The 13,575-nt window shown below is 42.8% G+C and overlaps 1 long non-coding RNA gene across 3 annotated transcripts; it reads right to left on the reverse strand.

Moving 5' to 3' along the window:
• Nucleotides 1-684: 684 nt before the first annotated feature.
• Nucleotides 685-13,076, reverse strand: CTD-2154B17.1 (uncharacterized). Of its 3 annotated transcripts, NR_188229.1 has the most exons (5): nucleotides 13,010-13,076; nucleotides 11,496-11,630; nucleotides 3,008-3,105; nucleotides 1,501-1,645; nucleotides 685-1,344 (listed from the first exon to the last, which is right to left on the reverse strand). It is a non-coding gene; the product is annotated as an uncharacterized CTD-2154B17.1 (long non-coding RNA). The 3 variants fall into 3 exon arrangements; NR_188230.1 differs by lacking the exon at nucleotides 1,501-1,645; NR_188228.1 differs by having other exon boundaries at nucleotides 685-1,645.
• Nucleotides 13,077-13,575: the final 499 nt, after the last annotated feature.

Raw genomic sequence — 13,575 nt, forward strand, 5'->3', positions numbered from 1 at the left:
GGGTGACAAAGAGAAGATTTCACATCTTACCACTCTCACCCCAGTGGTTCAACAACTTTTTAAATGATTGTAGATGACAGGAGAAGTCACAGGTCAGGGGTCACTACTTGGATGGTGATTGCCAATACAACCTTTTAATATAATCTGCCCATATTTATGTTGAAGCGTTTTATACACGTGGTACTTTAACGCTGTGTCAGAAATAATAATGTTCTAGCTGTACTGTACCATTATCGCTAATTGTAATTTTATTCTCAACTAGAGTACCTTTGAGTATTGTTTACTACAGGGTTGGTAAACAGTAGTCTGCAAGGCAGGTCTGACCTGGTGCCTGTTTGTGTAAAGTTTTATTGGAACACAGTCATGCCCATTTCTTTACATATTGTTCATTGCTGCTTTTTGGCTACAATGGCGGGGTTGAGGAGTCGTGGCAGACACATTTGGCCCCCAAAGTACAATAAATTGACTCTAGCCCTTTGCAGAAGGTTTGCCATCCCCTGCTCTGCTGCATCACTTCACACACCAACAAAGGCAGCAGCTCAAGGTTAGGCATAGACATTTGTAGACACAAAATCAGATCACAAATGCCTTCCTTCACATTTTAGCTCACATGCAGGTATCAGCAAAGAAGAGGAAACAAAGTGCTTTGTACTCAGAAAGTATTTCAGATAATGAATCACTTTATGATTTTCCATGATTTATTTTTAACTCTTACTTTTCCAATTATTTATTTATTTATTTATTTATGAAATGGAGTCTCACTGTGTCACCCAGGCTGGAGTGCTGTGGTGCGATCTCGCCTCACTGCAGCCTCCTCCTCCCGGGTTCATGCCATTCTCCTGCCTCAGCCTCCCGAGTAGCTGGGACTGCAGGCACTCGCCATCACGCTCGACTAATTTTTTGTATTTTTAGTAGAGACAGGGTTTCACCGTGTTAGCCAGGATGGTCTTGATCTCCTGACCTCATGATCCGCCTGCCTCGGCCTCCCAAAGTGCTGGGATTACAGGCGTGAGCCACCGCACCTGGCCAAGTATTTTAAGGCTTCTATTCAAAACTAAAACGAACTGTTAGAAAAAATGTAATATCTGAAATATATCATTCTGAATATATTTTTGTAAATATCTAATCACAAATGGTCATTTTTTAATGGAATAGTAAAGGCCAGACTTGATCTAACACCAGCAACAGTAAACAAGTGGGAGAAAAACAAACATCTCTCCATGAATCCAATTGCGTGAGTGCCCTTGTTCACTACAGAGTGCTTTTCTTGATGATGAAATAAGAATGTCTACCTTTAGAACAATTGTCATTCAGTGGGAGGTATGGAGTCAGCCTGGAGCACCTCTAAAAATAAAAAAATTATGAAATTCAGAAACTTATAAAATTCAAACATATTCCCTTTTCCTAGCAGGCAGTAAAATGACAGCCGTGTGAAACTCATGATTACAGTTAAGAAAGGAATAGAACAGAGGTCCCATTTGATCACTGTTGGGGTTAGACCTATTAGAAGATGCATGCTCTGGAAAAAGAAGCCAATGACGAGAGCAAAAGGGCCGAGCAGCCAGGGTTGTTGCTGTTTATGTCTTTGTTGACCTATCCATCCATAATCATATATTTTGAGCACCAGCTTTGCACGAGGCATCACCTTAGAGGTAAAAAAGAAAAAAATGAAATAAAAATAAGTCTTCCTCTAGCCTTATCATAGTTCTGCGAGGTCTTGGGTCTTTGGGGAGAACAGAGAGACCCCAGCCCCAGTGTTCACATCGCTTTGCCAATGCCCACACTTATGTGGGTATCTATCTGCAGCTCCATCATGCCCTGGAATGGCTCTAAGACATGCTTCTGTGCTTCTTGCTGCAGCTCCTCCCAGTGGCCAACAGCAATGATCTGTCCCCTGTCTAGGGGCTCCCATATACCCACTCTCCACCTGCCAGCAGAGCCCAGTCTGCACCCTCAGGTGGAGGGACAAACACAAGATGGGCCTGAGACGGGCTGGCTGAGCCTGAATCCAGCATTCTACCTTGATGAATCTCCTACTCTCTTGGCTTTCGATTCCCCCAGGGTAGAGCAAGGGGCTGTGTTCAGAGATGGATGGCTCCTCCAGCTTTAACCTGTTGAGTCTGCACAGGGAGCCATCTCCTGGTTGCAACCAAGTCAGGGCATGGAGTGGAGCAAGAGTTAGAGGCCCCACAGCAGGAGTGGACTCCACACCAAGATCCTCAGCTTAGCCTGGGAAGTTTGGATTTCTTTGGTTACGTTTAAGACACAAAACTGATTGAAGAGAGATTCACAATAGAGATTATGGAAACTAGCAAATAAACGGAAACATTGCTTCCGGCCCGTGAGTGGCAGGTTAGAGATTTAGCTGGGAACCTGGAACTTTGTCTTCCAATTCTGCTTCTGCCACTTGCTGGCTGTAAGATTTGGGGCAAGTTACTTCACCTATTCATACCTCAGTTTCTTCAAGAGTGAAATGGGAATATGAGGGGCCTGCCTCAGTGGGCCCTTGTTTAAAGAAGCTATTATGTTTAAAGACTATAGAACAACACAGGCAAACTGTGAGCACATGTTAGGCTGGTGCAGCACAGCCTCAGGGAACAGAGAGAAGGCCAGGGCTCTGGCCCTCATCTCTAACCCTGAGTGGTGACTCAGGCTGCTGCCCCAATGGCCTAAACAGTAGCTGCAGAGGCCTGACAAAACCCAAAAGCTATACAAAGGCTCAGGTCTTGGAGATCAGTCTAGGTTTTCACTGGTGAGAAGGAAGAGGCCCTTCAGAAGATCCTAGAGAAGCCCCCAGGCTCTGACATCCACGGCCAGTCCACAAACTCTCTACCACTGCTAGGCAAACAGGCAGCAACGGCTCTCCCTCCTTCCTCATTCCCACCAGCCTCCCAGTCCAGGCGTCTTTTTCTCTTTAAAGGTTCCCAGATGTGAATTTGAAAGGTAAGGAAGGAGAGGCAGACAAGAGAAGGGAAAAGATGTGGTTGGAGTTGCCCCTGATACTCACATTCTTCTAGAAAGAACATTCCTCAGCCTCCCACTGTATGCAAGGCTCTGAGCAGCTGATCGTCCAGACTAGTGAAGGCCCAGCTCTGTTCTGATGGGCTGAGATGGAAGAGAAAGATGTGTTAGGCAGAAAGAGAAAATATGTGTGTGGCAGAGGACAGAGGCTGCTTCAGACAACTGCTTGCAGGAGCTACAGGGCATGTACGCACACACATGCACACATGTAGGTGTACATGCACATATATAGGTACACACATGCACACACATGGGCACACATAGGTGTACACCTGCACACATGCATGCACACAGTCACATGCATGAATGCACACATAAACACAGGCACACACACACAGGCCTTCCGCATACATAAATACACACACAGGTATACACACACTCAGGCAGAGCTACTTTCAGCTGCATGATGGTAGGCAGAGGCAGTGACAGTAGGAATGTCCAGCTTACTTATCTGCTGGTGAAGACCCAGATCAATTTCCCAGGTGGTGACTTTCTGTCCAACATTAGTCCCCTGTCTTCTAGGGTTTTAGGCATTGAGAAATTGACAGCCATGGGCCCTGGAGGTCTGTAATTGTTTAGCAATCAGCTCTCTGGGGGTCAGGGATATGGGGGAGAGCCCTGATTTGTAGAGTTTGCCCATTTCTGTGGTGTAAACACTCCACTCATAAATGATTTCAGGCTACCAAAATAATGTCACTGAAAACACTGTTGGTAGGAGGCACTAGTAGTCTGCTCTTGTAAACAATACAGCTGGCTTAGGTACTAAGGAATCACAAGTTGGGTAAAGTGAAGGAATGGTTTTCCAAATCAAAAGACCACCATGATACCAAACACCAACAAGAAACAGAACTGACACACCATCTCATCTACTGGACAAAATCTACTTGTTCAATTGATAACATGTGCTCCAGTCAACTAAAACAGTGGAGAAATCTTAGAAAGAAAACATTCCCTTTTGATTTATGACACAATGTATAGTTAACAAATGTAGAATTTTTTCCTGTCTGGAAATTGGCAAAATGATAAATATTACTGTATAAGCTCTGGGAGACATCTACTCTGATGAGATTTTCAGTTGTTTTGTTTTGGTTTTGTTTATAATAATTTTGAACAGCTTTGTATCACACTGAGTTAGGGGAAAGGAGAATTTACGAGAAATGCACCCTAAGTGAGGCCAGTGTATAAGGATGTACCACCTCACATGTGTGGGATAGTTTTGCAAGAGGGATTAATGGTCATCTGAACCTTCAGAAAGACTGGAGTGGGCAGCAGCAAACTCCCCCTTCCTGAGAAATTGCTAAGTCCTTCTGCAAGCAACAGCCTTGTGCCATCATTTGGCAAAATCCTCATCAAACAACTTCTTTCATTCCTCTGCTTCCACCCAGTTGTTGCAGCTCAAATTTTTATTAGGTTTTCTGGATGTAAACTTGAGATGGCTCCCAATGCAAACAGAGAAAACTCCTGTTACAGTCCATTTAAATAACTGCCCACTTGAATAGGGGAAGAGGAAACACATTCTGTATTTATTCAAAAGCAATGGAGCCTCAAACAATAAGTGAAGATTATAATATTCTTGAGGGAGGCAAAATTTTCAGTTTCAATATAAACTACACAATTGGTTATCTCTGTACCACTCAGAAAGTATCCCAGCCAAATGAGTGAAATATGCTCTGGACAGCCAAGATCCTTTACAGAACAGCAATCAAAACAAAGGAAAAAAAAGAGATAAAAATAGAACATCTCTCCCTGACACTAGCCCCCAAGCACAAAGCTATAAACCTATCAGAAGCGTAGGTTTAACATCTCATCCTTCAGGAAAATATTAATGAAGCTATAAGACGATCAGAGCTTGGATTTATGAGGCATCAGCTTCTTTCCAACTCCAGATAAACATTAAGCTCCAGCTTATAAGAGGAAAGGAGTTGATGAGTCTGGGTATAATCACTTTAAGTAAATGTAGTATCCAAAGTCTCAAAAACAAACAACTCAAAAAACAAATAAATACATAGGAAAGGGGCAGCAAACAGCTGCCTACTTTACATGTAATCTGGTCAAGCTTCACACACCTCCATCTGCAAGAGGCTCCTGAGGAGGAAACCAGGATTCACAAAGGCAAACTTCCACCCACATTCTCACAGCTGGTCAGTGGAAGAGACAGAATCAAACCTAAGGCTCTTCTGCCTTTTGCCATGAAAATAGCATATAGGTCTGAAGAAGATAATAAATTGTTGGAGCAGGAATAGAGGCACCCAGCACTTGCCTCCTCCACAAAGAAGGACCAAAACAGCAAACAGATAACCACACGTCGAATAGTGCATCTAGGATAATACACTGGAATTCAGCAGGGAAGTGGTAGGGACACTTTGAAGCATGGAGGTGGGGAAAGCAAAGCAGCTGGTCCACCTAAGATTGGTATAAAGCCAGAAGGAACTCCCCATTGTGGGGAAAAGATAGGCAAGAGATTCCCAACAGTCCACATTCCCACCACAGACTCCTGCAATACTGGTCATGAGAGAACCCCTTGGCCTTCACAGGCCCTGAGACTAGTACAGGGAGCTGCCTGGAGTATACATGACTGCATTGTCCTAGAGAGGAAATGCTGGATCCTTCTCATTCCTTAAGACCCAAGCTGCTATGGCATGGCACCATTTTGAGAGTCCAGCCTCCACCAGACTACATTCTGCCCTGGAGCCCAATATCCCCTGCATCTCCACATCCATGGAGTACCCCCTGAGCTGCCCCCATGTCCACCCAGAGGTCTTTAGCATCACAACACCATCTGGACCCAGTGGTTTGGCTGGATCCTCAGCACTCTAGCCCATGCAGTGTCCTATGGCCACACAGAGAGCAGGCAGTGCACCACACAGGAAGGCTACCCTCAGAACAGAGGGAGCCCAAGTGCATGCTCTCCAGAGCCTGGGAGCCACCTGCCCAGGGCTGCTGCCACCAGAAGCACCCCACCCCTCCAGTAGTGGGGCCACTGCACACCTGCATGCTGTCCAGCTCCAGTCTACAGCTCCCAGCGTGAGCAACACAGAAGACGGGTGATTTCTGCATTTCCAACTGAGGTACTGGGTTCATCTCACTGGGGCTTGTTGGACAGTGGGTGCAGCCCATGGAGTGTGAGCCAAAGCAGGGCGGGGCATCGCCTCACCTGGGAAGTGCAAGGGGTCAGGGAATTCCCTTTCCTAGGCAAGGGAAGCTGTGACAGACAGTATTTGGAAAATCAGAACACTCCCACCCTAATACTACGCTCTTCCAATGGTCTTAGCAAACAGCACACCAGGAGATTATATTCCGTGCCTGGCTCAGAGGGTCCCATGCCCAAGGAGCCTTGCTCACTGCTAGCACAGCAGTCTGAGATAGAACTGCAAGGAGGCAGTGAGGCTGGGGGAGGGGCGTCCGCCATTGCTGAGGCTTGAGTAAGTAAACAAAGCATCTGGGAAGCTCGAACTGGGTGGAGCCCGCCGCAGCTCAAGAAGGCCTGCCTGCCTCTGTAGACTCCACCTCTGGGGGCAGGGCATAGCTGAACAAAAGGAAGCAGAAATTTTTGCAGACTTAAACATTCCTGTCTGACAGCTTTGAAGAGAGTAGTGGTTCTCCCAGCATAGAGTTTGAGATCTGAGAATGGACAGAGTGCCTCCTCAAGATGGTCCCTGACCCCCAAGTAGCCTAACTGGGAGACATGTCCCAGTAGGGGCTGACTGACACCTCATACATCTGGGTGCCTCTCTAAGATGAAGCTTCCAGAGGAAGGATCAGGCAGCAACATTTGCCGTTCTGCAATATTTGCTGTTCTGCAGCCTCTGCTGGTGATACCCAGGCAAACAGGGTCTGGAGTGGACCTCCAGCAAACTCCAACAGACCTGCAGCTGAGGGTCATGACTGTTAGAAGGAAAACTAACAAACAGAAAGGACATCCACACCAAAACCCCATCTGTACGTCACCATCATCAAAGATCAAAGGTAGATAAAACCACAAAGATGGGGAGAAACCAGAGCAGAAAAGGTGAAAATTCTAAAAATCAGAGCACCTCTTCTCCTCCAAAGGAACACAGCTCCTCACCAGCAACAGAACAAAGCTGGACAGAGAATGACTTTGATGAGATGAGAGGAGAAGGCTTCAGATGATTGGTAATAATAAACTACTCTGAGCTAAAGGAGGTTGTTTGAACCCATCGGAAAGAAGCTGAAAACCTTGAAAAAAGATTAGACAAATGGCTAACTAGAATAAATAAGCATAGAGAGTACCTTTTTTTTTTTTGAGATGGAGTCTCGCTCTGTCGCCCAGGCTGGAGTGCAGTGGCAGAATCTCGGCTCACTGCAAGCTCTGCCGCCCGGGTTTATGCCATTCTCCTGCCTCAGCCTCCTGAGTAGCTAGGACTACAGGCACCCACCACCACACCTGGCTAATTTTTTGTATTTTTAGTAGAGATGGGGTTTCACCGTGTTAGCCAGGATGGTCTCAATCTCCTGACCTCGTGATCCGCCCACCTCGGCCTCCCAAAGTGCGGGGATTACAGGTGTGAGCCACTGCGCCTGGCCCAAGAAGACCTTAAATGACCTGATGGAGCAGAAAACCATGGCACAAGAACTACATGATGCATGCACAAGCTTCAGTTGCTGATTCAATCAAGTGGAAGAAAGGGTATCAGTGATTGAAGATCAGATGAAAGAAATGAAGTGAGAAGAGAAGTTTGGAGAAAAAAGAGTAAAAATAAATGAACAAAGCCTCCAAGAAATATGGGACTATGTGAAAAGACCAAATCTACGTCTGATTGGTGTACCTGAAAGTGACGAGGAGAATGGAACCAAGCTGGAAAACACTCTGCAGGATATTATCTAGGAGAACTTCCCCAATCTAGCAAGGCAGGCCAACATTCAAATTCAGGAAGTACAGAGAACACCACAAAGATACTCTTTGAGAAGAGCAACTCCAAGACACATAATTGTCAGATTCACCAAAGTTGAAATGAAGGAAAAAATGTTAAGGGCAGCCATAGAGAAAGGTCGGGTTACCCACAAAGGGAAGCCCATCAGACTAACAGTGGATCTCTCGGCAGAAGCTCTACAAGCCAGAAGAGAGTGGGGGCCAATATTCAATATTCTTAAAGGAAAGAATTTTCAACCCAGAATTTCATATCCAGCCAAACTAAACTTCATAAGTGAAGGAGAAATAAAATACTTTACAGACAAACAAATGCTAGGAGATTTTGTCACCACCAGGCCTGCCCTAAAAGAGCTCCTGAAGGAAGCACTAAACATGGAAAGGAAAAACTGGTACCAGCCGCTGCAAAAACACGCCAAATTGTAAAGACCATCAATGCTAGGAAGAAACTACATCAACTAATGAGCAAAATAACCAGCTAACATCATAATGACAGGATCAAATTCACACATAACAATATTAACCTTAAATGTAAATGGACTAAATGCTCCAGTTAAAAGACACAGACTGGCAAATTGGATAAAGAGTCAAGACCCATCAGTGTGCTGTGTTCAGGAGACCCATCTCACGTGCAGAGACACACATAGGCTCAAAATAAAGGGATGAAGGAAGATCTACCAAGCAAATGGAAAACAAAAAAAAAAAGCAGGGTTGCAATCCTAGTCTCTGATAAAACAGACTTTAAACCAACAAAGATCAAAAGACTCAAAGAAGGCCATTACATAATGGTAAAGGGATCAATTCAACAAGAAGAATTAACTTTCCTAAATATATATGCACCCAATAAAGGAAGACCCAGATTCATAAAGCAAGTCCTTAGAGACCTACGAAGAGACTTAGACTCCCACACAATAATAATGGGAGACTTTAACACCCCACTGTCAACATTAGACAGATCAATGAGACAGAAAGTTAACAAGGATATCCAGGAATTGAACTCAGCTCTGCACCAAGCAGACCTAATAGACATCTACAGAACTCTCCACCCCAAATCAACGGAATATACATTCTTCTCAGCACCACATCACACTTATTCTAAAATTGACCACATAGTTGGAAGTAAAGCACTCCTCAGCAAATGTAAAAGAACAGAAATTATAACAAACTGTCTCTCAGACCACAGTGCAATCAAACTACAACTCAGGATTAAGAAACTCACTCAAAACTGCTCGACTACATGGAAACTGAACAACCTGCTCCTGAATGACTACTGGGTACATAATGAAATGAAGGCAGAAATAAAGATGTTCTTTGAAACCAATAGGAACAAAGACACAACATACCAGAATCTCTGGGACACATTTAAAGCAGTGTGTAGAGGGAAATTTATAGCACTAAATGCCCACAAGAGAAAGCAGGAAAGATCTAAAATTGACACCCTAACATCACAATTAAAAGAACTAGAGAAGCAAGAGCAAACACATTCAAAACTAGTGGAAGGCAAGAAATAACTAAGATCAGAGCAGAACTGAAGGAAATAGAGACACAAAAAACCTTTCAAAAAAATCAATGAATCCAGGAGCTGGCTTTTTGAAAAGATCAGCAAAATTGATAGACCACTAGCAAGACTAATAAAGAAGAAAAGAGAGAAGAATCAAATAGATGCAATAAAAAATGATAAAGGGGATATCACCATCAATCATACAGAAATACAGACTACCATCAGAGAATACTATAAACACCTCTACGCAAATAAACTAGAAAATCTAGAAGAAATGGATGAATTCCTGGATACATACACCCTCCCAAGACTAAACCAGGAAGATGTTGAATCCCTGAATAGACCAATAACAGGCTCTGAAATTCAGGCAATAATTAATAGCCTACCAACCAAAAAAAGTCCAGGACCAGATGGATTCACAGCTGAATTCTACCAGAGATACAAAGAGGAGCTGGTACCATTCCTTCTGAAACTATTCCAATCAATAGAAAAAGAGGGCTGAGGTGATGGGGTTTTCTAAATATACAATCATGTCATCTGCAAACAGGGACAATTTGACTTCATCTTTTCCTAATTGAATACCCTTTATTTCTTTCTCCTGCCTGATTGCCCTGGCCAGAACTTCCAACACTATGTTGAATAGGAGTGGTGAGAGAGGGCATCCCTGTCTTGTGCCAGTTTTCAAAGGGAATGCTTCCAGTTTTAGCCACCACACCTGGCTAATTTTTTGTATTTTTAGTAGATACGGGGTTTCACCATGTTAGCCAGGATGGTCTCGATCAGGAAAGGGAATTCTTATACACTGTTGGTGGGAATGTAAATTAGTGCAGCCATTGTAGAAAACAGTGTAGAGATATCAAAAAAACAAGAATAGAACTACCATACAATCTAGCAATCCTACTACTGGGTGTTTATCCAAAAGAAAAAAAGTCACAGATTGCTTGAGTTCAGGAGTTCAAGATCAGCCTGGGCAACATGGCAAAACCCCGTCTCTACAAAGAATACAAAAATTAACCAGGTGTGGTAACATGCGCCTGTAGTCCCAGATACTTAGAGGGCTGAGGTGGTAGGATTTCTTTAGCCTAGGAGGTAGAGGCATATTATGCCACTGCACTGCAGCCTGGGTGACAGTGAGATCAGGTCTTTAAAAACACACACACACACACACACACACACACACACACACACACACACACACACATACATGAAAGGAAATTAGCATATCCAAGGGATAACTGCATTCCCATGTTTACTGCAGCACTATTTGCAATAGCAAAGATATAGAATCAATGTAAGTGTCCATCAACAGGCAAATGGATAAAGAAAATCTGTATATATACACAATTGAATATTATTGAGCCATTTAAAAAGAATAAAATCTTGTAATTCATGGTAAATGGATGAGCTTAGAGACCACAATGTTAAGTGAAATGTCAGGCACAGGAAGATATGTACTACATGTTCTCTCTTATATGTGGGAGTTAATAAAAAATTTGAGTTCATGGAAGTAGAGAGTAGAATCGTGAGTATCAGAGGTTGGGGAGAGTAAAGGGGAGAGGGAGATAGGGAGGATCTGGTTAATGGATACAAAATTACAGCTAGACAGAATAAGTTCAAGTGTTCTATATTGCTGTAGGGTGACTACAGTTAACAAAAATTTATTATATATTTTCAAATTAGTAGAAGAAAGGATTTTGAATGTTCATGATATGAAGAAATAAATGTTCGAGATAATGGGTATGCTAATTACCCTGATTTGATCATTACACACTGTATACATGTATTGAAATATTTCTCTGTATCCCATAAAGATGCACAACATATAGAATAAAAAAAGAATCAAACCCAAGTTTTCCTGGCTCAAGATTACTTATCTTTTCACCATGTCAGGAGGGTGCCCCATTATCAAAAGTATTATTTACATAACAACCTTTTAAAAAAATAACTTCCCCTTCATCAATTTAAAAGCTATAAGCATTTCATTTTGTGCACTTTCTAGAAACTTGTACCTTAAAAGCACTGAGGTGAATTTATTTTCTGAGTTGCAGGGGAAACAGATAGAACAGGGGTAGAGAAAGATACAACCTTGTGTTCACCAGAAGGCTGAGACATTAGGATCCTGAGGCCTTCAAGTTGAGTCCTTCCTCTACCATTTTGGAGCTGTGTAATCTTCAGCAAGTTAGTAAACCTCTCTGAATCTCAGCTGTCCTCCTTTGTAAACTGGAGTGAATAATAGATATCACTGCATGTAATAGGCATCACTGTTCAAAGTGTTTGATTAGATAAACTAGGTCTTGCTTGGCACATACAGAAGGCTGTGATTTTCAGCTATTATTTCTGTATTCATCAATCCTAAGATGCATTTTTTTTCACAATTTAACATTTTTTCAGTGCATCTGACTGCCTATGGCATCTGTGTCAAATTTTAATGTGTCACTGTGTCAAATTTTAATGATGCATCTTACAATCAGTGGAGTCTTGATTTGATGAATTGTGGTCTTGTAATTATCAGTACTATTATTACCAAAGAGATCTGGCCATAAAATAATAATGAGACTGTTTCCACAAGCTGTAGACAATAAGCACCTTATTATTTTATAATAGCATGGCACAAATTTCCTGCTGGAAGACTCTCCTGGGGGCTTCCATGTAATGGCTAAGATGGATGAATATTGCCTTCTGGCAGTAATGGACTTTCTGTAGGTCTGTCTTATGTTAAGCAATCTCAAGATGTGAAAATCCAGATTTCTGTTTTAAAAATTAATTAGAAGGTGACACTTCAAAATAGAAGAGCTTCACAAAAGTATCCATTTGGAGCAGTATTTCTCAATATTTCTTTCCTCATTACCTCCCTCCCCAATAACAAGGCTTTTTAGACATTTTTGTCCTAATCACTCCCCCAATGAAATTTTAATATTGAAGACATACTGTATACCTATTTATGTATTGTTTGTATATTTTTTCTTAACACATGAAATGATATATAAAAGATGTATAAAAGAGTACCATTTGTTGCACACACCCTCTCATTCAAATTTTCACCCCCTTGAGTACAATATCTCCTCTTTGAGAATGCATACATTAGAGACAGACCTTAAAGGACATTTAAAATATCGTATGGCTTTGGAAATTTTAATTTGCACTCAATTTTCCTAGGACACATCAACTACAGATAGGAAGGCATACAAGTATATTAGATAAAATGTCACCGTGGGGTGTCCACTCCATGTTGATTACAGGCTAATGTCTGCCTAGTTGTTTTTTAGACCATGCTACCCAACCAAAACACCAGGAGGAAGGGACACCTGTGAGCCATTTGTAATTCCTATAATGGAAGAAAACTTGTCTCAAAGTTAAGTTGACTTTTAAAAATGTGCCTAGGTGTTATTCAATCACAGCATTTCATTTGTTAACGTTATTTCTACAATGGCTCCCAAATATTTTTTCTTTTCTCACATTATTATTTCTTTAATACCAGAAATCAACACCCTGATCAAAAGTTTCCAGAAATATTCCCTATAGTTGAACCCCAAGGGAAGGATTCTTTATATCCATCATCTTAAGGGCCATGGTCAGACGAAAGTTCCCTGGGCCCTCACCTGCCTTCAGGCCCCGGGCCTTAGAGGAAGGACTCTTGAAGCAGCACAAAAAGCTGCTTCCTGTTTCCCACTTCCCACTTCCTGCTTCTGGCTTCCCACTTCCTGCTTCCTGCTTCTGGCTTTGGCTGAGCATCCGAAGGAGGAACAATGCTGGGTTCCTGGGCTATGGTGCTTTTGCCTCAGAGTGGATGGGGGAAACCGTGGCAGAGGCTTGGTCCAGAAGATGGGCAGAGGTACTCAGGGGGCCAGGCTCAGGCCACCCCACCCCACTGCTCAGGAGATAGGCAGTTTAGTTTGATGTTTGAAATACCATTTCAAGAGGCCCGCCACTCCACTATGAGGTAAATAGCCTAAAATGTTAAAAATAAAACAAACATCTCCACTAAAAATACAAAAATTAGGCAGATGTCGTGGCACGCACCTGTAATCCCAGCTACTCAGGAGGCTGAGGCAGGAGAATTACTTGAACCTGGGAGGTGGAGGTTGCAGTGAGCAGAGATTGCACCATTGCACTCCAGCCTGGGCAAAAGAGTGAGACTCTGTCTCAAAAAAATAAATAAATAAAA

Source organism: Homo sapiens, chromosome 5 (genome assembly GCF_000001405.40).
Source record: "Homo sapiens chromosome 5, GRCh38.p14 Primary Assembly".
Lineage (NCBI taxonomy): Eukaryota > Metazoa > Chordata > Mammalia > Primates > Hominidae > Homo > Homo sapiens.